The 26,832-nt window shown below is 34.6% G+C and overlaps 1 pseudogene; it reads left to right on the top strand.

Annotated features, from left to right (window-relative positions):
• On the top strand, positions 2,060 to 2,890 carry DHFRP5 (dihydrofolate reductase pseudogene 5; annotated as a pseudogene).
• The last annotated feature ends 23,942 nt before the right edge of the window (positions 2,891 to 26,832 follow it).

Here is a 26,832-nt window from a genome sequence, read left to right as displayed (position 1 = left end):
TTTTCCTTTTGAAACTATAGGTTTGGCTTTATTTGTTTCCCTTATCAGAACTAAACAGAAATTAAGATCGAAATTATTTTAAGATGTTTTTAAATGCAAATTTAAAGTATTTGTATCTAACTTGTATTTCAAATTTGTATTAAAAACATCTTAAAATAATTCCAGTCTTAACTTATTTTTAGTTCCCACAAGGGAAACAGATCAAACATGCCTGTATACAGTTAGAAACCCTCTGTAGTCCTTCATTGATTTAGTCATTCAATAATATCTGGGTGTGTATTTTGTGCCAGGCTCTGAGCATGTACTAGGAATATAGAGGTACACAAAATAGGCATGGTCTCTGCCTTCATGGAGTAGCAATGTAAGGGAAAAACACTTCATAATATTTAAAAAATGCTTTAAGGATGTGAGCCATCTTGGTATACAGTCTAGATAATCCTTCCAAAATATCTGCTGGCACAAACATTTTAATAAAAAATGAATTAACTTGCTGTTGGTTATTGTAAGGGGTAACTGACATTAAAGGAAATGTGACAGCTTTTTTTGCACATCTTCTGGTATTGCTATTGTGAAGAACTTATTGGAAATACAGAACCATTTGTTTATTCCCTGTAATGAGCATCTCTCAGTTTTGCTTTCCTGGTATCCATCCCTGCTATGGTCTGGTAACAACACCTGGATTTTCTGTGAGGAATTATTATTCTTTTATTGTACAGTTTGTGTGTCTATCAGTTCAGGTGCCCTGTGTTCTTTTTGCCAAGAAGCAGGCAAGAGACTCAGGCCAGAACAATTTGAGCACTTTTTTTTTCCTGGGCATTTTGAGTCAAAGAGCATAAAAACACAGATAAGGAAAAAGTTGATTTGTCCCCTGACAGGACCCTGAGGAGTTAGGCCAATAATTCTGCAGCCTATATTCTCTTTGTAGCTCTCTTCTTTGAATTTTCTTCAACTAAACCCTGCCCTAAGTGTTAGGGTACAATGGTGAACAAAAGAGATGTGATCTTTGCTCTGACAGTGCTTAAAACACAGTGGGGAGGATAGACATTTATCAAATAATCAAATAAATAAATTAGTTGCAAATTGAGATTAAATAAAGGCCAGAAAAAGATTAAGATTGAGTATAAATGAGGTGTTCTTTTTAGTTAGTATCATGGAGGGTGTAAGCCCCTCCTCATCTCTCTTACTTGGAGGGAATTCTAAGATTCGTTGAGAATTATAGTTTAATTTGGTGTATATAGGTAGATACACATGAACTCACACAGAAAACCCCAAGAAACCGAAGACAGCCAGCAGCCTCCATCGATAGTTTGTTTGTTCTATCTGAGGAATATGTGGTACAAACAAAAGTGTTTTTTTTAATTCAGTAGACCACTAACGTCATCAAAACTAAAATGATATGAATCAAAAAGGTGAAGCAATTATAATACTGTTAAGTTTGTATGGAATAAATATCAGGCACTCAACACTTCACATTATATACTTAAAGTATAGGTAGCTAAGAGATAATTGAATATTACATGAAGGTAAACCATCTGCCTTAATGATTGTGGTAGATATTGCCTCACAGTTGAAACTTTTCTATGCAAGTCTTATATTTCTTTTGGAAGAAAGACAGTCATGTTGTATTTCTCTTTATAAAACATTTTCCATGACTCAAAAAGCAAAATCAAAACAAAAAAAAAAACAAAAAAGTCATTATCAAAAATAAATTTGCCAAAAGACTGAAAATATAAATTTAAGTAAACAAAGGTAAAAATCAAGGTTGAATAGTTATTTATTTACAGGTTAACTCTTCTCCCCATATAACATTCATGCAACTGAAAACAGCAAATATTATAACTATACTTAATCCTGTAAATTTTTAAATTTCTTATTTGGTTAAAAATATTTATAGGTGAACCCATTATCTAATTTATGGATTTAAAATATTTCTTATTAATCACAAAATATAATTCTGATAAAATATTATAAATATTAGCAATAATCTTAATCATCAACAGTAACCCAAATCCAAGGAAGAAATGGAAATAATGATTGGCAATATAAAAACAAGAGTTAGAATTTCGCATGATTCTTGGTCTTGCATCCTGGTGTTGTGACCCAGCTCATAGGTGTTCACTGCTGTTGTCATGGTTCATCCGCTAAACTGCATTGTCAATGTTTCCCAGAAGATGGGCATCATCAGGAATGGGGACCTGCCCTGACCTCAGCTCAAAAATAAATTCGATTCCAAAGAATGACCACACCCTCTTCAGCAGAGGGTAAAGAAAATTTAGTATTTTTAATTAGGAAGAACTGGTTCTCGATTACTGAGAAGAATCAACCTTTAAAGTATATAATTAATTTAGTTGTCAGTAGAGAATCCAAGGAACCACCGCAAAGACCTCCTTTTCTTGACTAAAGTCTGGGTGATGCCTTAAAACGTATTGAGCAACTAAAATTAGCAAATAAACAAGACGTGTTTTTTACAGTGGGAGGCAGTTCTGTTTATAAGGAATCCATGAATTGAGACCATTTTAAACTATTTGTGACATGGATCATGCAGGACTTTCAAAGTGACACGTTTTTTTCCCCTAGAAGGTGATTTAGAGAAATATAAACTTCTCCCAGAATACCCACAAGGTGTTGTCTCTGATGTGGAGGAGGAGAAAGGCATTAAGTACAAATTTGAAGTATATGAAAAGAATGATTAATATAAAAGCGTTTCCTGATTTATTTCAAGTTGTTCTCCCTTTCTGTAAAATCTTATATATTGTTACATTAAATAAAAAGATTTTGTTGACTTTAGATCTATGAATTATTATTTCTAAGCAGCATTTTTTATTCCCCATTAATCTTAATTAGACTATATCAAATACCATTTATAAAACATTCTTGCTATAACTAAGTGCCTCTCTAAGGCCAAACTGTCTCCAGCACCTGCTGCGGAGAGATGCCATTTCACACCCATCACATGTGACACGTTCACCAGTCCTTGACGTTGTCAGGTTTTTAAATGTTCGCAGTATTTATCAAAGGTGAAGATGCACATATCCTTAAAAAAAAGAGTTAGATTACATAAGCTTGTTTTCTGACTCCTGCTATATATACTTGCACCTGTTTGTCATCATTACTTTTTCACCCCCTTTTGGAAAATACGTTTTAAAATTTTGAAGAAAAATCTTCATTATTAATCATAAAATTTTCCCAGGTTATCCATCAAAAGACACTTATGAATTCTATGTGAAGTTTGCCAGTTACTGAAACATGGTACACCTCAGATGACTTCCTGATTTTAATTTTATATTTAAAGATGTACAAATAAGTATCTTTTTGTGACTTAGATTTGCAACTCATTTTATCTTAATATTATAGACATATTTTTCTGTTTTTTTTTTTTTTTTGGTTTTTAATAATCAACATAGTTGAAATGGATAGATATGGGATTTTAGCCCCCAAGCTTTTCTACATATTCAAATTTGATCTAACCCATTTTAAACTCTAGACATACTTCAGGCATATCTAAATGGTTAAAACAATTTATAAAAAAAATTATTTAACTTTTCTTATTAAAACTTATTGGCCTGGCGTGGTGGCTCACGCCTGTAATCCCAGCACTTTGGGAGGCCGAGGCGGGTGGATCACGAGGTCAGGAAATCAAGACCATCCTGGCTAACACGGTGAAACTCCATCTCTACTGAAATACAAAAAAAAAAAAAAAAATAGCCCGGCGTGGTGGCGCGCTCTTGTAGTCCTACCTACTCTGGAGGCTGAGGGAGGGGAATCGCTTGAACCCGGGAGGTGGAGGTTGCAGTGGGCTGAGAACGCGCCACTGCACTCCAGCCTGGCGACAGAGCAAGACTCCGTCTCAAAAAAAAAAAAAAAAAAAAAAAAAGACAAACAAAAAAACTTATTACAGTGAATTACACAATGATTTGAAATAGTTATAGTACTCACTGTTGTAACCTGTCTTTACATTTCATTAAATACTTTGATAAAACATGAGTTTTAGAAGAGGAAGAGCCTTTTGTTTTTAAGGATATATCACAATTTATTTATCCAATCCTATTTAATGGAGCATTTTATTTGTTTTCCATCTTACTTTACTATGTAGATTTGCAAGAAACATTTTAACAAAATTTTTTTTTTGCATCCAAGTCTTTGGTTATTTTTAAATGATTAGTAATTGGAATTAATACTATTGGATTTGTGCTGTATAATTTGGGATTTTAGAATAAATTTTATTGTTTACTTTCATTTTTTTGCTATATATCTTTACTTTCAAACAGAATTGCTTTCATAAAATGTGTAACCATATTTTCAACAATTATTTAAATAATGATTGCATTACCTGTCCTTTCAGACCGCAAATTTTCATTCTGGAGTTTTGTGGTGATTTTTTTACATTTATTTTTTAATTGAATGAAGTGAATGTTATTCATCCTAAGCCCTCTGGCATTACGAGGTAGTTGGGGAGAGGTCATTTTGGCTGTTTTCCCCCCTAACCTCTCCATTATCTTCTCTTGTTTAACAAAGCAGAAAGGAAACCTAAGAACAAGCAACAGTTTTCTTATTGAAAAAACAAGTTTGCTCTCTGGGCTTACACAGTATATAATTTTTAACTTATAGTTAAATAATTTTAATAGAATTTACTTGAGAATTTATCTTTTCTGTATTTTGTAATATGTGAAGGACTCTTTTAGATGTACAGAATTTTCTCTTTAGCAGAGAAAGTTAGTTTTCTACCAAATATACTTATTATTTTTATTCTATTTGTTTACACATTGTCCTCAAGAATACGTACGAAAACTCTATTGGGGCCAGGTGCGGTGGCTTACTTCTGTAATCCCAGCACTTTGGCAGGCTGAGGTGGGTGAATCATGAGGCCAGGAGTTGGAGACCAGCCTGGCCAGTGAAACTCCGTCTGTAATAAAATTACAAAAAATTATCTGGGCGTAGTGGCAGGCACCTGTAATCCCAGCTACTCGGGAGGCCGGGGCGGGAGAATCGCTGGAACCTGGGAGGCGGAGGTTGCAGTGAGCCAAGATCGCGCCTACTGCACTCCAGCCCTGGCAACAGAGTGAGACTCCGTCTCAAACAAAACAAAACAAACAAACAAAAAAACCAACATAACTCTATTAGATTTTTTCCTTGTCTTCATTACTATCACCTTTAACTGTTTTCATCTATTTGATATTTCTCTAAATCTCTTGACCATATTTATTCCCATACAAATTATTTGGCTTTCTATAGTCCATTTCTACCTTTACTAGTACAAAAGGAGTTTTTTTTTTTTTTTTGCATTGTGTCATTATAATTTGTGGTTCCTTGTAATATTTCTAACTTTATTTACCTTTTTAAAAATCTCATCTCAGTAAAAAATTATTACCCTATCTTTTAATGTGTTCTTCATAAAATTAATGTTTATTCCCAATAACCATTCTTTTCTGTTGCCCATGATATGAATGATGAAATGTCTATTTATCCTGATTATTCCCTCAAACACCATACCCCCAACTATGATATTAGAGTTTTCTTGAATTCAGACACTCCTTGTGCATGAATTTAGGATCCCCTGTTTACACCTTAAGCAATCTTGATAACTAAGGTAAACTGACATCAAAAGTCCAGGAATTCAGCATTTTGGGTTAAATAGGGACTAAAAGCAGCAGTTTTCCTACTTTTCTTTCTAACATTAGCTAAATTGTTGCTCCCAAATATACTTGGTTTTTCTATGTCCTCCAATAGCATATTTGTGATCTAGAAGAGAAAGGGAGCTAAGAGGTACGATATATATATTAAAAAAAAGATCCCATCAAAAAGTGGGCTAAGGATATGAACAGACAATTCTCAAAAGAAGACATTTATGCAGCATTTTCATAAACATATGAAAAAAAGCTCATCATCACTGGTCATTAGACAAATGCAAATCAAAACCACAATGAGATACCATCTCACGCCAGTTAGAAAGGCAATCATGAAAAAGTCAGGAAACAACCAATGCTGGAGAGGATGTGGAGAAATAGGAACGCTTTTACACTGTTGGTAGGAGTGTAAATTAGTTCAACCACTGGGGAAGACAGTGTGGTGATTCCTCAAGGATCTGGAACCAGAAATACCATTTGGTCCAGCAATCTCATTACTGGGTATATACCCAAATGATTATAAATCTTCTACTATAAAGACACACGCATACATGTGTTCACTGCAGCACTATTTACAACAGCAAAGACTTGGAACCAACCCAAATGTCCATCAATGATAGACTGGATAAAGAAAATGTGTCACATATACACCATGGAATACTATGCAGCCATAAAAAAGAATGAGTTAATGTCCTTTGCAGGGACATGGATGGAGCTGGAACCCATCCTCAGCAAACTAACACAGGAACAGAAAAACACCCTATGTTCTCACTCATAAGTGGGAGCTGAACAATGAGAATACATGGACACAGGGAAGGGAACATCACACACTGGGGCCTTCTGGGGCATGTGGGAAAAGGGGAGGGAGAGGATTAGGACAAATACCTAATACACACAGAGCTTAAAACCTAGATGATGAGTTGATAGGTGCAGCAAACCACCACGGCACATGTATACCAATGTAACAAACCTGCACATTCAGCACATGTATCCCAGAACTTAAAGTCAAATAAAAAATTAAAATAAAAAAATTCCTCTCCAAAAAAAAGAGGTACAACATAACAACAATATTCAACAATATTCAGGTAATACCTTTAGACATGAGATACTGAGCTAGAGACTGGGAATTAAAGCCCTGAGCACACCAGACACTGCACTACACTACACATTCATGGAGGTCGCAGTTTAGTGGGAGATAGTAGATTTTAAACAAATCAAATATATATGTGACTATATATGTATTTAACTACAACTCTGATAAATGATATAAAGGAAAAGTATATAATAATTTCTATTTATACAGGGAGAAGAATTGGCTGGTGTGGGAGATCAGAAAGCTTTGCTGAGTGATTGCCTTTTAATGAATGTGTAGGAGTAACTAGGTGAAGGCAATTGAAAACAGGGATTCAGAAAGAGGAAAAATGTACATATGAAGGAACTGAAGTAGGCTTTTTGCAGGGTTAGTGAGGTCAGATTGCCTAGAGCATAATGAAAAGAACAGAGACTGGCAAGAAATGAGGCTTGAAAGGTATTCAGGGAACAGATCATGCAGGGGCTAGACAGATGGTACTTGAAAGGACTGGCTAGCCATGCAAAAAAGTTAGGTCCTCATCTTGTGGGTGGAATTTGGGGATATATTCAGGCTTTTGTGAATCAACAAATTTATTCAAAAGCAAGATACAGATATACCTTTGCATTCTAAAACTGTGACACTGTTAATCATACTGTTCTTTGAAGATTTTTTCACATGCATTAATTGATATTTCTTTACAATTTTTTGAAAAAGGTCAGTAAGGCATAAGCATTGTAATTTTACAGGTAAAGAAAATGTAGCAAAGTAAGTTGAAGTGACTATCCTAAATTTTCATAAAAGTTAGCTGATGTTATATGATTCCTAAATTATTTCTTTTCTATTTAGATTGCATTGAGGGCTATTATACAAAAAAGCTCATAAGATCTTTAAAGTGCTTATAGATTCTCCCTTATTTTTTATTCTATTTGAGACCCAATTTTCCTATTCCTCATAATTATTCCCTTTATCAGTTCAGAAAAGTGGTTTATTCATCCTGTTTCTGTTTTTTTTAATAAAATAAAGTGGAGATAATAGCCTTCAAGAGTGATATCAAAACTAACTAGGTGATATTTATTAAAAGCGCTGATGTTGGAAACATTACATAAGAACTAAGCATTAGTCTTATCTCATATGGGGCTATGGGAGAAATAACTAATCAATTATTTCAACATGTTTAGAAATTCAAAGCACAATGCAAATACTAATCAAGCATACCATGCATAAATGTAAATTCATTAGTAGAGAATATAGAAGATGCAAAACTTTTGAGTGTGGTAACAAATATCCAAAAGTGTTATATATTTCATGTACCTCATGAAAATGAATATGAAAAAGGCATGGACTGTTGCATTCTCATGCTTCGAGTACCCAGCATTATATAAATGAATGATAGCAATTAAGTCTCCTTCAAAATTATTTTGCAAGTGACAGAGTCTCTCCTTGACCAAACCGTAGATGGGCTTCTCTGAGCCCTCTTTTCAACTTGGCCTCATCCTTGGGCCTGGTCCCCAAGCCCATCCCAATTGTAACAAGAATCCTGTTCACTGTACTATTTACAATAGCAAAGACATGGAATGAACTTAATGCCCGTCAATGGTAAACTGGATAAAGAAAATGTGGAACATAGATACCATGGAATACTACACAGCCATAAAAAAGAATGAAATTATGTCCTATGCAGCAACAAGGATAGAGCTGGAGGCCATTATCCTGAGCGGACCAACACAGGAACAGAAAAACAAATACCACATGTTCTCACTTTTAAGTGGAGGCTAAACATTAAATACGTATGGACACAAATAAGGGAATCAAAGATCCAGGGCCTACTTGAGGGTGGAGGTTGGGAGCAGGGTGTGAATCAAAAACTTTTTGTCAGGTACTATACTTATTATGTGGCTGATGAAACACTCTGTACACCAAACCCCCACACCCCCACAACATGCAATTTACCTATATAATAAACCTGCACATGTACCCCTGAACCTAAAATAAAATTAAGAAAACAAAAACTAAAAAAAAAAAAACAAAGGCAGATTGTCAGAATGTATAAAAAAGCAAGGCCCATCTAAATGCTGCCTACAAGAAGTATATTTTAAATAAAAAGACACACATTGGTTAAAGGATAGAACAGGATATACCACATTAACACTTGACAAAAGAAGGCTGATGGGGAGTGGCTATTTAATACTACAGTAGATTTCATAGTAAAAATATTACCAGCAATAAGCAAGGTCATTTCATAATGATAAAAGTTTTAATTAATCAAGAAGATATGACAGTCCTATACATTTATGTACCTAATAACATAAAAGTTTCCGAATACATGATACAAAGAAAATGAACAGAACTGCAAAAGAAATAGACAAATTAAAAAGTATAGTCTGAGATTTCTGTATCCCTTTACTCAGTTGATAGAACAAGGAGACAGAAAATCAGCAAGAATAGAGGAGACTTGAATACATTCTCCTCAAGTACCCATGGAACACTTACCAAAATAGAGCTTACTCTAGCTCATACAATATATCTTAATAAAATGATTAAGTCAAAAGGATTTAAGTCATATGAAACATATTCCTTGACTAAAAAGCAATCAAATTAGAAATCAATAACAAAATTATATCTGGAAAAACTCAACCATTTGGAAACCAAGTAACACAGATCCAAATAACCCTGGGTCAGAGGTAATAAAAATAGAAGTTAGAAAGTATTTTTAACTAAGTGAAAATGAAAATACAACATATCATAAATTGTGGAATGCAGCTACAACAGTATTTAAATAAAAATTTTCAACACTGATATCTGTAATAGAAGAGTCTCAAATCAATGACTTTGACTTCTACCTTAAGAAACTAGAAAAAAAGAAGAGAAAATTAAACCCAAAGGAAGCAGAGGAAAGGAAATGATAAATACATGTTATGGTCTGAGTTTTTATGTTCCTCCAAAATTTATATGATAAAGCCACATCACAGAGGTGACATTATTAGGAGGTGGGGCTTTGTGGACATGATTACATCATGGGGGCCAAGCCCTCATAAGTTGATCAATGTTCTTAAGCAGGTGACCCAAGAGATCCCCTTAACCTCTTCTGCCATGTAGGGTCACGGGGAAGATAATGCATGTATGAACCATGAAGTGATCCCTCACCAGACATCAAATCTGACAGCACCTCGATCTTGGACTTTGCAGTTTCCAGAACTGTGAGAAATCAATTTCTTTTGTTTGTGAGTTACTCAGTCTATGGTATTTTGTTACAGCAGGATGAAAAGACTAAGATGTCAAAGCTGAAACCAATAAAACAGAAAAACTGTGGGAAATATCAATACCACCAAAGAATTTGAGGAGTTCAAGAAAAGTAATAAAGCTTTATCTAGTCAGACTGTTCAGGAAAACAAGAAGATACAAATTAATAACTTTGGAAATGAGTAATGTGATAATATTATAGATTCTATAGATACTTTTAAAAAACAAGGCAATATTACAAAATTTATGTGAATAAATATGGCAATTTAGCCAAAATTGAAAAATTCCTTGAGAAATAAAAATTACCGAATCTCAATCAACAGAGGATAATCTGTATTGCCCTATATCTATAAAAGAAAATTTAGCCATAGTTGAAAACCTTCCTACAAAAAGCTCCAGACCCAGATAGCTATACTGCTAAGTTTTACCAATATTTTAGGAAGAAATAATATAATTTTACATAAACTCTCCCCCAGAAATAAAAAGGAGTACATACCAACCCATTCAATAATGTTAGCATTACCCTCAACCAAAACCAGACAAGGATTTTACAAATAAGAAAACTTCCTCATGAGCATGGATGTATAAATTCAACCAATTTTTGAAGCAAGCAAGATATCCTCCAATAGGTGAATGAGTAAAATGTGTTACAGCCATATAATAGCATATTACTCAGTGATAAAAATAAATGAAATATCAAGCTATGAAACGACATGGAGGAACTTAACTGCATATTACGAAGTAAAAGAAGTCAATCTGAAAAGGCTTCTTACTGCATTGTTCCAACTACGCAACATTCTGGAAAAAGCAAAATTATGAATATGGTAAAAAGATCACTGGTTGTCAAAGGATTGGCAAGAGAAGAAAAGAATACATTGGCAGAGCAGAGGGTTTTTAGGGAAGTGAAAATACCTTACATGTTACTGTAATGATAAACACATGTCATTATACCTTTGTGTAAAGCCATGCAATGTACAACAACAAGAGTGAACCCTAATGTAAACTATGGACTTTGAGTGATTAAATGTCAATGTAGGATCATCCATCAAAGCAACTGTACCACTGTGGTGAGCAATATTCATCATGAGGGAGGCTGTGCATGTGTGGAGGCAGGGGTATATAGAAAATCTCTGTATCTTTCTCTCAATTTTGCTGTGAACATAAAACTGCTCTCAACAAGTAGTCTTTCTAAAAAAGAAAAAAAGAATCCAGCTAACTAGTATACAGCCTCTATGAAGAACATTATAGCCCTTTATCGATAAGCTAAAAATATAACTACCATATAATGCAGCAAATCTGCTTGGTATATACTCGAAAGAAAATCAATGTATCAAAATGATATCTATACTCTCATGTTTATCACAGCACAATTCACAATAATGAAGATACAGAATAAACCTAAGGCTGAACCTAAGGGAATCAACCATCAATGGATAATTTTTTTTAATGTGGTATACACAGTGTGTGTGTGTGTGTGTGTGTGTGTGTGTGTGTATACCACATTAAATAAAACCTATTTATCCATTGATGAACATTTAGGTGAATTCCATATCTTCTTTATATATATATATAAAATATAATGTAATATAATGTAAGTATATATATAGTACTCCATCTATATATAATGGAGTACTATTCAGACATAAAAATAATGAGATCCTTCATTTGCAACATGGATGGGACTGAAGGACAATGATAAGTGAAATAAACCAGGCACAGAAAGACAAAAGACAAACATCATATGCTATCACTAATAGGTGGGAACCAAAAAAAAAAAGAAAAGAGAACTAGGGATAGAGAGTAGAATGATGGCTACTGGGAAGGGTCATGGGAAGGGAGTTTGTTAATGGGAACAAAAATACAGTCAGATATAGAAAGAATAAGATTCAATGTTTGGTAGCACAATAAGATGACTATAGTTAAATGGTTTATTCTATATTTCAACATAACTAAAATGGTAAAATTGGAATGTTCATAACACAAATAAATGATAAATGCTTGAGGTGATGGATTTCTGGCTTACCTAATTTGATCATTACACACTGTATGCTTGTATCAAAATATTACATGTATCCCATAAATATGTACAACTATTATGTAGCCATAAAAATTAAAAATTAAAACAAAGAATCTTGCTAAGTCAGTTTAACAAGAATTCCCCACCCTTGATATCTAATCATCTGGCTTGCCTTCAACAAGAATCCCATTAAGTCAGTTTAGCAAGAATCCTTCTCTGATTAATTTTCCATCTACTGATGCCTTCACTTTGCTCATTGTCTACAAATCCCCAGCTGTTGTTCCTGTATTTGGAGTTGAGTCTGCTCTTTTTACCCTATTGCAAAAATCATGACATCTATTGCAAAAATCATGACATCTATTGCTAATAATTCTGCATAAAGTCTTCCTCATGTTTTAACTAGTGTCAGAATAATATTTCTTTGTTACTGGTAATTGCCTTTATGCAATCTTTTTTCCTTTTTTACTGCTACTTTCCCACTCTCTCTCTTGAAAAGAATCTAATAATCTAAACCACGAGATTTGAAATTATTAAATTTTGGCATTTGTTTTAAATAACATAGTTTTTATCTACTATCAAAAAGGAATTTAATATGAGGTAAATATCTTGTAGAGATGACTTTGAAATATGTCATTATGATTTGTGTGTGCATATTTCATCTAAATTCAACAATTCGCAGCAGAAAAAGCATGTACCACTGAGGCAAGACAATTCCATATATTTAGGAGTGGAAAGCAAACTGAGCATTATTTATTTATTTTTAAAACATATTCTCACTAGTTTTACATTTCTGTAATCGTGATCATATGTAGACAGGGCTTACATAAATATTGTCAATAATAATTAATATTATTACTGAGCTTGATAAAGACACATTCATTTCAACCTTTCACCCCCTTAATTATTTATTTGCATGTTGGAAACTATATGGAAAGAATTTCACAATATGCATTTTTCTCTTATAATTTAAAAAGATACTTCAGAAACTGTTTAGGTATGGAATCATTTCAATGTGTATCTCATTGTGTATTTCAATGTGTATTGCATATGTCAGATGAACACTCTTTGATTCAATGGTTTAAATGCTTTAGCATTAGAAATATTGTTTTAACATTTGACTTGTGCATGTATGCCCACCTGAGTGTGTGTGTGTGAGTGTGAGTGTAGACACTACACACCGGGGAATGTTGTGGGGTGGAGGGAGGGGGGAGGGATAGCATTAGGAGATATACCTAATGCTAAATGACGAGTTAATGGGTGCAGCACACCAAACATGGCACATGTATACATATATAACAAACCTGCGCGTTGTGCACATGTACCCTAAAACTTAAAGTATAATAATAATAAAAAAAGAAAAATATTACTATGGTTAAAAAAACTTTTTTAACCTTTTATTTTGTATTTAAATCTATGGTTAGAAAATAAGATTGTTTAGAATAAAATACTATCTTTTATTTTTTCTGCTATTCTATAAAGCTCTTTTTTTAACCTGAATAAATATTTTTAAAAATCTGTGTGTTATTTGTGAGGTAAAGTGCAACTTTAATGCATACATGTCTGCTAAAGAAAACAGATAAGCTTATCTAAACATCATTTTATCTGCCCAATTGTCAGCTTTCATTTTATCACCAAATGTATTTCATTACCAAATGGCAAGAATGATATTTTAAATCTCAGCTGATGAATTATTTAAAACATTTTTCAACAATTATTATCTTTCAGAAAGTTTAAAGTCAATCAATGGTAAAATGAAAGAAAACATTTGCAAGTTAATCAAAAGTATCCACTACATAGACAAACATATAATTTAATAGATATATATAGATTTTTATCAGAATATGAATTTGTCACTGGATTTTTATTCACATGTTTCTGTATCTATTTTTTTCTATTTAATATATTTTATGTTTAATATATTTTCTCCCTCATCTATTTCTTGAGCAATTTATATTACCACCCCCCACCACAAAACCACTACTTCTTCCTCATTCCTCAATGATCAACCATCTTGTAAAATAAAACCTTTGGTAAACAATTTGACATATTCTATAGATGGTATTCCTTCAATTGACTTTTTCTCTTCTAAGTTTGAGGACTCTACCTCAGCCAAACAAAATTACAGGCACAAAATTAATTGAACTTCAGAAATATAAAGCTATTCATCTGCCTTCGTTTATAATTCAACACAATATTGACCTCAAAATGCCTTTCAGACTGGTCTAACATCTTTAACTTCAATGAACTCCTTAACCTTTAGAATTCCTCACCTCCTTGATCACTTTGCACTTCCATATTTCTCAAGTGTTATTTCCAAAAATGCGCAGCATTTAAAAAGAATTAACAGGATAAATACACTAATTTTAAATTTAATTACATACAGTGCAAGAAGAATAGATTTAAGTGAAATATCAGTATTTAGGTAGAGATTGTTTTTTCAAGAACATCTTGTGTCATGTACTATGATTTATTTTACTACAAGGTGTCTTCGCACTTAAGCAGAATGTCCACTAGAGTGCTGCAAGTATCCATTCAAGTCAGTCACTGTTCTGCGCAGACATTCTATTAATGATAAAAACAATAAGGCTGATATATCTTTAGAACTTACGGGCCACAATCAGTGAAGAAACACCAAGATTCATTTAAACTATGCATAGTTTTATCTGTTGTACATTTATGCTGATAACCCTTTATTAGGTTAGATGCAGAAAGTATATAGATATAATTGAAATAAAGTCAATCTCTCGGTTAATAAAAATTAGTTTTACCATCTTGCTATCGGCACTTCTACAACTCACTTCATTTTAATAATATATATATATTATTATATATATATATATATAGACAAGTATCCATAGAATCATTGTTTACAAATAATTTCTTAATTTTTATTTACAAAGAATATAGGTAATGCTGGAGATGAACTTTGATTAAATTTCTAAGATATATTGTTTAGCTTATATATCTATTCACTATATCAATGAAAATATTTTTGAAAAAGGTGCTCCTTTTTAATGTTTTACTGGTTTTAATTTTAAAGTTCAACTTAACACCTGTAATGCATATTTCTTGTCCTTAGAAATGAGTTTTTTTTTTTAAGATCAGGCAATATTTTATATCTCTTTATAGCTGCAGTGTATACTATGTATTTTAACAAATAAAATGTGAATATTCATCATTTAAGAATAGATGGATGAATACAATGCATTTACTAGCAAGCATCAAGAAAAGCACTTGCCCTAGCATGTATATATTTTATTTTCTGTATTGTTTACTGTTACTTACCTTTAGTATTAGTTTACATGAAATATCTTATTTCTTCTGTTAGAATTAGAAGTATAGGGTAGTGATGTTTTCATTTTAAATATAAATTGAGAAACAGTTTGTTCTATATATTGTTGATAAATACTACACTGGAATTCAGATCTCCTTAGAAGAGAGCTATTTAAATGATTTTTTTATGATACTGCCTAGAATTTGCCAGAATCTCCATGTCTGATCAGTTTATAGCTCAGGAAAATGTGCTATATTTTAATTGCAAACATGTCACTACACACTAACGAAGTATAAACAGTTAACTTCAAGTTAATTAACATAAGCATTTCTCAAATAAGGCCAAGAACTTGTATTTTCACCAAAGTCAAACGAGTAAACAAGAGATCAGAGTCATTAAGTTCCTACTTCTGTTGATTTGTCTCAAGGATTAATGGATGCACTTATATTTATATGACTGCACGTGCACGATTGCCCGTTGTTGCCAGATAGAGCCAGTTGGTGAGACAGGTATATTCATCTCTTCCGTAAAACTCCACAGCTTCCCAATGCATGCAAGTATTCACTTGGTTTTGCATGACACTGGAGGCAAAACTGTAACTCCAGGCTCACTTCCCACAAAAATCCTTCATAAATGCTATCACTTAAATCATTTTCTGCCCTGCCTCTGTATGCATCATGCTCTCTTTTTCTGAAATACTTATTTCCCAAGTCAGCTCAAATTTCAGTTCATTTGTAATGCCTTCTATGAATCCCAAATTGGAAATAATTGCTTTCTTATTTAGAATCCCACAGGATTTTGTTTACAGATCTAATTTTAATATTATCATATGTATTTCTCTCTGTCTTACAATTAGTCTATTTTTACAAATGTATTTCTCTCTGAAAACCGACTAATTGAATCACTTATTCATTCATTTGATGAATACCTGCAGGTATACATCAATGATTATCTACTATAAGTGGTCAATGAGCACCTATTGTGAGCTCAGAATTGTTATAGGCCCTGAGAATAAAATAGTGAACATGACAAAAATTCCTGCCTTCACAGAGTTTCCAGAATGTAGCTAAGTCAGGTTATAAATAAGTACAAACATGAATATATACTATAATTGCAGGAAATAAATACTATAGAAAAAGTAAAGCAGACTAAGAAAATCAAGAGCGATTACAAGTTTCCTCTTTGTGGAGAAAGAAAAGTTGAGATCTGACTGCCTAAAGGAGGCAAGACATTCACTGTCTAAGGAAGGAGTGATTGAAAGAGAGGAAGTAGCAAGTGCAAAGAATAGAGATAGAGTAAATTTATAGAGAACATAGAGATTAGCAAAGGGGAAATGAAAGAAGAAAAGTTCAGAGAGTGGAAAATTATATCTTATCACCATGCTTAATCTTCCCTTGTTTCTTGTATTTCATACCACATTTAGTACACAAGATTTTACACAGAGTATGTACTCAATAGTAATACAATGTTGTGATTTTGAGGTAAGCAAAATCTGGATTTGAATTGAAGTTTATCTCTTTATTTGTTTAATGACCTTGACCTATTTGTTTAATGACAAGCTTGTTGACTTAATAGAACTGGTAAAACGCCTTAGAGAATTCAAAGTCTTTCTGCATTGAAAATCAGTTCCAACAGAGCACTGTTTTGCTCCAAAGAACAAAGTTCTTGAACTAGGCTCATCTACCTGAACTTTAGCATTCCCTGTTTAAATTGTTCTGCATTAAGTTCTGAGGTTGACTTTTTCCACTTTCTTTCTAGATAAGACAGACAACTGAAAAAAATCTCATTCAAATGATGTAAAACACCAGCTGATGAACATCAAATTTTGCCAATCAGTTTATGTCTATGATAAAAAGCATTTTGAGATGAGAAATAGTTATAGTGATTCTCTTCTATTTTCAATGTGTAGGTAAAAATCAGGGTCAGTAGTGAAAATGTTTTTTCTCAAATTCTAGAAGACTATACAAATGCTATCAGTCCCGCCAGAATTATCTATTGTTCTCTTTGAGATAGAATAATCTTCAGATAGTACTCATGTCCTGCACTTACAGACTTCCTACCAGTCTTCTTACATATGTTGGTAGAAAATACTGGTGATTTTAAATGTGAATTGAAGCAGTGTCTTCATTTACTTCTTTGATGAGAGCCCGAGAGCTAGAAGCATACTTAATATGCTTGAGAGGCTTGGGATGGCTTTACTAGAGAATAATAAAATAAATAGAATAATTTTACTTTTTAATATATTTACTTGCAGCATATGCCCTGAAAAAGTAATATAGACTAATTAATTATGAGTTTAGGAACAAATTTTTTATCCATCTTATTTCTACTAACATCCTCCTTTGTGTTTCCACTCTTCCTTTGTGTTCCTTTGTGCCTTCATACCCTGGAAAACATAACCTGTTCTTTTAAATCTCTGTGAATTGGCATATTTTGCTTCCTTTGGTATCCTAGTCTCCCTTTACCAGTTCTCATCTTTAAAAATCTCCTGTTTTGCACTCAGCTACGGCCACCCCCAACCCGTTTTGGACCCCATCTCACTGCTGCTCAAGTAAGCACATCCTTGTGTACCCTGGTTGAGCGGCCATTGCTGATGTGCATGTGCACAGATGCCAGAGGCCTTGCTCCCCAGCCTGCACTTTCACTGCCGTGGGAGCAAACGTGTGCATGGAGTCCAGCAGCCCTGCAGCCTACCAGTGCCCAACCACCGTGCCGACACTGCTGCCAGTATGGACAAGCACATAAATGCCAGCAGCCCTGCCCCTGGCCCCATGGTGCCACCACTGCCACTGCAAACATGCACAGGGAGGCTGGCAGCCCCACGCCCACTAGCTCCCCATCCCAGTCAACCTGTATGTACCCCGTTATGCTGTTGCTCCTGCTGGAATGTGCAAATAAGCAGAGATCTCAGTGCCATTGCACAAACAAAGCACATTGGTTGGCATCACACATTAGAGCACTGTGGCCCGTAGTCTAGGACCACCATGGCCTTTCCAGCACAACAGCTTTCTAACCTAAACAGACCAGAGAACAAAGCTACTTGCCCAATATCAGCCCCAAAAATTTATGGCATGCAGCCCAGGAGCGTTAACTGAGACTTGGGCCCCTATAATCTTCCATAAACAAAGTCAACTGACTGAACACACATTATACTACAATGAAACCCTCAATGGCATCAAAGAAGATAAAATTTAAAAAAAAACCTATCTAAAGAACAGCAATTTTAAAGATTAAAGAAACATCAGCCCACATAGTCGAGAAAGAACCAGAACAAGAAACTCTGGCAACTCAAAAAACCAGAGTGTATTCTTACCTCCAAATGCCCATAGTACTTCCCCAGTAATGGTTCTTAGCCAGGCTGAAATGTCTGAAATAACAGACATAGAATTAAGAGTATGGATAGAAAAAAAGATAATCAAGATCCTAGAGAAAGATGAAACCTAACACAAAAATTCTAAGGAATACAATAAAATGATGCAGAAAATAAAAGATGAAATGGTCATTATAAGAAAGAATCAAACTGATCTGATACAGCTGCAAAACTCACTTCAAGAATTTCACAATGCAATTGCAAGTATTAAAAGCAGAATTGTCCAGTCTGAGAAAACAATTTGGAGTTAAAAAACCAGTTCTCTGAAATAACTCAGACAAAAATTAAGAAAAAAAATTAAAGAAGAATGAACAAAACTCTGAGAAATATAGGATTATGTAAAGAGATAAAATATATGACTCGTTGGCATCCCTGAAGAGAATGAGAGAAAGCAAGCAACTTGAAAAACATATTTGAGAATATCACCCATGAAAATAGCCCTATCATCATTAAAGAGGCTGACATTCAAATTCAGGAAATGCAGAGAACCCCCAGAAGATAGTACATAAGAAAACTATACCCGAGACACATAGTAATCAGATTCTCCAAGGTCAAAATGAAAGAAAAAATGTTCAAGGCAGCTAGAGAGAAGAAGCATGATACATACAAGGGATCCCCATTAGGCTAAAAGAAGACCACTCAGCAGAAATGCTACAAGTCAGAAGAGACTGGGGGCATATATTCAGCATTCTTAAATAAAGCAAACTCCAACATTTCATATCCAGCCAAATTAAGCTTCATAAGCTAAGGAGAAATAAGATCCATTTCAGGCAAATAAATGCTAAGGGAATTCATTACCACTGGACTTGCCTTTCAACAGGTCCTGAAGGGAATGCTGTATATGAAAATAGAAGAACATTACCAGCCATTACAAAAATACTGATGTACATAGACCATTGACACTATTAAGCAATGATACAAACATGTGCATACAATAAACAGCTAACAACATGATGACAGAATGATCAAATCCACACATATTAATATTAGCCTTGAATGTGAACAAGCTAATTGTTCCAATTAAAGGACACAGAGTAGCAAGTTGGATAAAGAAGCAAGATCCAACTGTGTACTGTCTTTAAGATACGCATCTCAAATGCAATAATGCCCATAGGCTCAAAGTAAAAGGTTGGAAAAAATCTACCAGTAAAATGGAAAACAGAAGAAAGAAGGGGATAATAATCCTCTTTCAGACAAAACAGACTTTAAACCAAGAAAGATTTAAAAAGATAAAGAAGGGCATTGCATAATGCTAAACAGTTCAATTCAACAAGAAGAAGACCTAACTATGCTAAATATATGCCCCCCAACACAGGAGCACCCAGATTCATAAAGCAAGTCCTTAGAGACCAACAAAGAAACTTCTATTACCATACAAAAATAAAGGGGGGCTTCAGTACCCCACTGAAAGTATCAGACAGATCATCAAGGCAGAAAACTAAGATATTCAGGACCTGAACTCAGCACTGGATCAAATATACCTGATAGATATATACAGAATTGCCTACTGAAAAATGAAAATTATACAGTCCTTTCATCAGCACATGGCACATACTCTAAATTGACCACACAATTGGCCATTAAAACAACAACAACAACAAAGAAAACCTCATTAAATGCAAAAAAAAAGAAATACTAGCAAACACACTCTCAGACCACAATACAATGAAAATATAAGTCAATGCTAAGATTGTTCAAACCACAGAATTACATGAAAATTAAACAACCTGCTCCTGAATGACTTTTGGGTGAACAATGAGATTAAGGCAGAAATCAAGAAGTTATTTGAAACTAATAAAAATGAAGATACAACATATGAGAAACTCTGGGACACAGCTAAAGCATTGTTGAGATGGAAGTTTATAGCACTAAGTGTCCACATCAAAAAGCTACAAAGATCTCAAAATAACAACCTAACATCATACCCTACAGGAATTAGAGAAGAAAGAGCAAACCAATCCCAGAGCTAGCAGGAGACAATAAATAACCAAAATTAGAGCTAAACTAAAGGATGTTGAGACACAAAAATCCATACAAAACTTGAGTTCATGAGTTACTTTCTTGAAAAAAATAAGTAAGACAGATATACCACTAGCTAGAATAACAAAGAAAAAAAGATCAAAATAAACACAATACAAAATGACAGAGGACATTAACACTGATGCCACAGAGATACAAAAATCATCAGAGGCTACTACAACACCTCTATTTACTTACGCTAGAAAACGTATAAGATATTGATAAATATCTGGAAACATACAACCTCCCAAGATTGAACCAGGAACAGACTGAATCACTGAACAGACCATTAATGAGTTCCAAAATTAAGTCAGTTATAAAAGGCTTACCAACCAGAAAATGCCCAGGACCAGATGACTTCACTCCTGAATTCTACCAGATGTTTGAAGAAGAACCAGTATCATTTCTACAGAAACTATTCCAAAAAATTGAGGAGAAACTCCTCCTTAACTCATTCCATCAAGCCAGCAGCATCCTCATACCAAAACCTGGCGCACGCGCACACACACGCACACACCCCCCAACCTTCTGGCCAATATCTTTGATGAATATAGATGTAAAAATTCTCAACAAAATACTAGCACATTGAATCCAGCAGTACATCAAAAAGCTAATCCATCATGATTAAGTAGGCTTTATCCCTGGGATATAAGGTTGGTTCAACATGTGGAAATAAATAAATGTGATTCCACAAATAAACATAATTAAAGTAAAAAAGCACATGATTATCTCAATAGAAGGAATAAAGGCTTTTGATAAAATTAAACACAACTTTGTGTTAAAAACCCTCAACAAACTGGGTATTAAAGGAACATACCTCAAAATAATAAAAGCTATCTATAAAGATTACACAGCCAACATCATACTGAAGGGGCAAAACCTGAGCATTCCCCTTGAAAACTGGCACAAGACAAAGATGCTCTCTCCACCATTTCTATTCAACATAGTACTGGAAGTCCTGGCCAGAGCAAGCAGGCAAGAGAAAGAAATAAAGGGCATACAAATAGGAAAAGAGGAAGCCAAACTATCCCTGTTTGCAGATGATATTATTCTGTACCTAAAAAACCCACACTCTCTGTCCAAAATCACCTAAAATTGATAAGCAACTTCAGCAAAGTTTTAGGATAGAAGATCAATGTACAAAAATCAGTAATCAGTAGCATTTCTATACCCAACATCATTTTTGCTGAGCGCAAATCAAGAACACCAATTCACAATAGCCACAAAAAGAATAAAATACCTAGGAATACTGCTAACCAGATAGGTTAACAATCTCTACAAGAATTACAAAGCACTGCTCAAAGAAATCAGAGATGAAATATAGGAGGGAAAATAGCAGATGGGGGGAGGACTAACTTGCAGCTTCCAGTCGAACAAAGACAGTAGTGTATGGAGACTCACACAGTGAACTTTTGCTTGAAGAACTACTGCAGGAACATATCAAGAAAGTCTAGAGAATCCACAGAACCTTTGAAGGAGGTGTATTGCCCCTGCAGGCTCCATGTGACAGCCAGGAACTGTGAGTCTGCTTGCTTTCTCAGCTGGGAGGCTTGTACCCTTGGGCAAGTCCTCAGCTCTGCTCACCAGCTGCAAGAAAATTAACTTGGTGCTGTTGGAAGGACACAGTTGGAGTGAGACTAGCCTTTCGGGCTGTGGGCTGCATGGGAGCTGGGTAAGGCCTGTGGCTGCCAGCTTGCCCCTGCTTTCCTGGCCATCTGTGTGATGCAGCAGAGGCAGCCATAATCCCCCTGGGAACATAAGTCCATTGGCCTGAAAATCACACACCCATCCATCACAGCAGCCACAGAATGCCTCACCCAAGGAGAATCTGAGCTCAGACACATCTAACCCTGTTTCCACCTGATGATCTTTCTCTACCTGCCCTGGTAGCTGAAGATGAAAGACATATATCTTGGGTGCCTAAAGGCCCTGCCGACTGCCTGAAAGCACCACCTCCTGACTGGAGGCACTCTTGAAAGCACCACCTTTCGGTTAGAGGCCAAACAACAACAATAAAAAAAAAAGCACACTTAAAAATACAACCAGGGACCCTCACAGAGACCACTTGACTCTGCTACCTCTACCAGAGCAGACACAGGTATCTACAGCTGAGAAAACTGAAGATTAATCACATCACAGGACTCTTTGCAGACATTCCCCAGTATCAGCCCAGAGCCTGGTAGCTCCACTGGGTGGCTAGACCCAGAAGAGGAATACCAATAACTGCAGTTTGGCTCTTAGAAAGCCCCATCTTTAGGGGATAGGGGTGACCACAACATCAGGGGAGCACCCTATGGGACAATAGAATCTCAACAGCAGCCCTTGAGCCCAACGTCTTCCCTCTGACATAGTCTACATAAATGAGAAGGAACCAGAAAAACAATCCTCATAATATGGCAAAACGAGCTTCTTTAACACCCCCAAAAGATCACACTAGCTCTCCAGCAATGGATCCAAACCAAGATGAAATCTCTGAATTACCAGAAAAAGAATTCAGAAGTTTGACTATTAAGCCAATCAAGGATGCACCAGAGAAAGGTGAAGTCCAACTTAAAGAAATAAAAAATAATAATAATGCAGGATATGAAAGGAAAATTCTTCAGTGAAATAAATAGCATAAAGAAAAAACAACCACAACTTCTGGAAATGAAGGACACACTTAGAAAATTGCAAAATGCACTGGAAAGTCTTGGCAATAGAATCAAACAAGCAGAAGAAAGAACTTCAGAGCTCGAAGACACAACTTTCAAATTAACCGAATCTGACAAAGAGAAAGAAAAAATAGTTTTTAAAAAATGAACAAAGCCTCTAAGAAGTTCGGGATTATATTAAATGACCAAACCTAAGAATAACTGGAGTTCCTGAGGAAAAAGTTTGGAAAACATATTTGAGGGAAAAATCAAGGAAAACTTCCCAGGCCTTGTTAGATATCCAGATATCCAAATACAGGAAGCTCAAAGAATACCTGGGAAATTCATCACCTGGGTGCATAGTCATCAGGTTATCTAAAGACAAGATGAATGAAAGAATCTTAAGATCGTCACCTAGGCAAATAGTCATCAGCTTATCTAAAGACAAGACGAAGGAAAGAATCTTAAGAGCTGTGAGGCAAAAGCATTAGGTAAACTATAAAGGAAAACTTATTAGTTTAACAGCAGATTCCTCAGCAGAAATCCCACAAGCTAGAAAGAATTGGGGTCCTATTTTTAGCCTCTTTAAACAAAACATCTATCAGTCAAGTATTGTGTCCAGTGAAACTAAGCTTCATAAATGAAGGAAATATAAAGTTTTTTCCAGACAAACAAATGCTGAGAGAATTCACCACTACCAAGCCAGCACTACAAGAACTGCTAAAAGGAGCTCTAAATCTTAAAACAAATTATCAAAATACACCAAAATAGGATCTCCTTAAAGCACAAATTTCATAGGACCTATAAAACAACAACACAATGGAAAAAAAAAGGTATTCAGGAAACAAATAGCATGATGAATATAAGAGTACTTCACATCTCAATACCAACATTTAATGTAAATGGCCTAAATGCTCCACTTAAAATATACAGAGAGGAAAAATGGAATTTACTAACCAAGTATCTGCTGTCTTCCTGAGACTCACCTTACATAAGGACTCACATAAACTTAAGGTGAAGGGGTGGGAAAAGATAATCCATGCAAATGGACACCAAAAGTGAGCATTGTAGCTGTTCTTATATCAGACAAATCAAACTTTAAAGAAACAATAGTTAAAAAGACAAAGTGAAACATTATATAATGATAAAAGGACTAGTCCAACAGGAAAATATTACAATAGTAAATATATTGGTACCAAACACTAAAGCTCCCAAATTTATAAAACAATTACTACAGACCTAAGAAATGAGATAGACAGCAATACAATATTGGAGGACTTTAATACTCCACTGACAGCACTAGACAGCTAATCAAGACAGAAAGTCAACAAAGAAACATTGGACTTAATCTATATCCTAGAACAAATGGACTTAATGGATATTTACAGAACGTTCTACCCAACAAGGGATGAATATACATTCTATTCATCAGCATATGGAACATTCTTGAAGATAGACCATATGATAGGCCACAAAACAAGTCTCAACAAATTTAAGGAAATCAAAATTATAACAAATACTTTCTCAGACTGCAGTGGAATACAATTGGAAATCAACTCCAAGGTGAACGCTCCAAACCATGAAAATACATGGAAATTAAATAATGTGCTCCTAAATGATCACTGGATCAACAATAAAATGAAGATGGAAATTAAAAAAAAATCTTTGAACTGAACAATAATAGTGGCACAATCTATCAAAATCTCTGGGATACAGCAAAGGTCATGTTAAGAAGAAAGTTCATACCATTAAATGCCTACATCAGAAAGTCGGAAAGAGCACAAATAGACAATCTAAGGGCACACCTGAAGAAGCTAGAGAAACAAGAACAAACCCAGACCCAGCAGAAGGAAAGAAATAACCAAAATCAGAGCAGAAATAAATGAATTTGAAACAAACAAACAAAAAATCCGGTTCTTTGAAAAGATAAATAAAATTGATGGACCATTAGCAAGATTAACCAAGAAAAGAGGAGGGAAGATCCAAATAAGCTCAATTAGAAATAAAACAGGAGATATCACAACTGCTATCACAGAAATACAAAAGATCTTTCAAAGCTACTATGAAAACTTTACACACATAAAGTAGAAAACCTAGAGATATGGATAAATTTCTGGGAATATACAACCCTCCTAGATTAAACCAGAAAGAAGCGGAAACTCAGAACAGAACAATAGCAAGCAGTGAGATTATAACGGTAATTAAAAAGTTACAAAAAAAAAAGTCCAGAACCATATGGATTCTATCAGATGTTCAAATAAGAATTGTTTCCAATTCTATTTACACTATTCCAAAATATAGAGAAAGAGGAAATCCTCCCTAAATCATTCTATGAAACCAGAATCACCATAATACCAAAACCAGGAAAGGGCATAACAACAACAACAACAAAAACTACAGACCAATATCACTGGTGAACATACTGGAGAAATCATCAACAAAATACTAGCTAACTGAATACAACAGCATATCAGAAAGGTGATCCACCAGGGATGCAGAGATGGTTTAGCATCCACAAATCAATGTACATTATACACCAAATAAACAGAATTAAAAACAAAAATCACATGATCATCTCAATAGATGCAGAAAAAAATTGACAAAATTCACATCTTTTCATGATTAAAATCCTCAGCCAAATTGGCGTACAAGGGACATACCTCAATGTAATAAAAGCCATATATGACAAACCCACAGCCAACATAATACTAAGTGTGGGGAAAGTTGAAAGCATTTCCCCTGAGAACTGGAACAAGACAAGGATGCCCACTTTCACCACTTCTATTTGACATAATACTGGTAGTCCTAGCCAAAGCAATCAGACAAGAAAAAGAAATAAATGTCATCCAAGTCAGTAAAGAGGAAGTTAAACTGTTACTGTTTGCTGAGGACATGACTGTATACCTAGAAAACCCTAATGACTCATCCAAAAGGCTTCTAACTGGTATATGAATTCAGCAAAGTTTCAGGATACAATATTAATGTACACAAATCATTAGCTATGCTGTATGCCAACAGTGACCAAGCAGAGAATCAAGAACTCAACTGCTTTATGATAGCTGAAAAATTAATAAAAGAATAAATAAATAAATAAATAGATAAATCAAACAAAGTTAGGGATATACTTATTCGAGAAGGTGAAAGGTCTCTACAAGAAAAACTATAAAACATTGCTAAATGAAATCATAGATGACACAAACAAATGGAAACACATCCCCTGGTCATGAAAGGGTAGAATCGATATTGTGAAAATGATCGTACTGCCAAAACAATCTACAGATTCAATGCAATTCCATCAGAATACCACCATTATTCTTTACAGAATTGGAAAAAAGCAATCCTAAAATTCATATGGAACCAAAAAAGAGTCCACATAGCCAAAGCAAGACTAAACAAAAAGAACAAATCTGGAGGCATTTCATTACCTGACTTCAAACTATACTATAAGGCTGTAGTCACCCAAACAGCATGGTACCAGTATAAATACAGGCATATAGACCAGTGCAACAGAATAGAGAACCAGAAATAAAGCCAAATACTTACAGCCAACTGATCTTTCACAAAGTAAGCAAAAGCATAAACTGAG

This window comes from Homo sapiens, chromosome 6 (genome assembly GCF_000001405.40).
Source record: "Homo sapiens chromosome 6, GRCh38.p14 Primary Assembly".
Taxonomy (NCBI): domain Eukaryota; kingdom Metazoa; phylum Chordata; class Mammalia; order Primates; family Hominidae; genus Homo; species Homo sapiens.
Note: the sequence above shows the minus strand (reverse complement) of the source record. Positions and strands in the feature narration are given on the sequence as shown.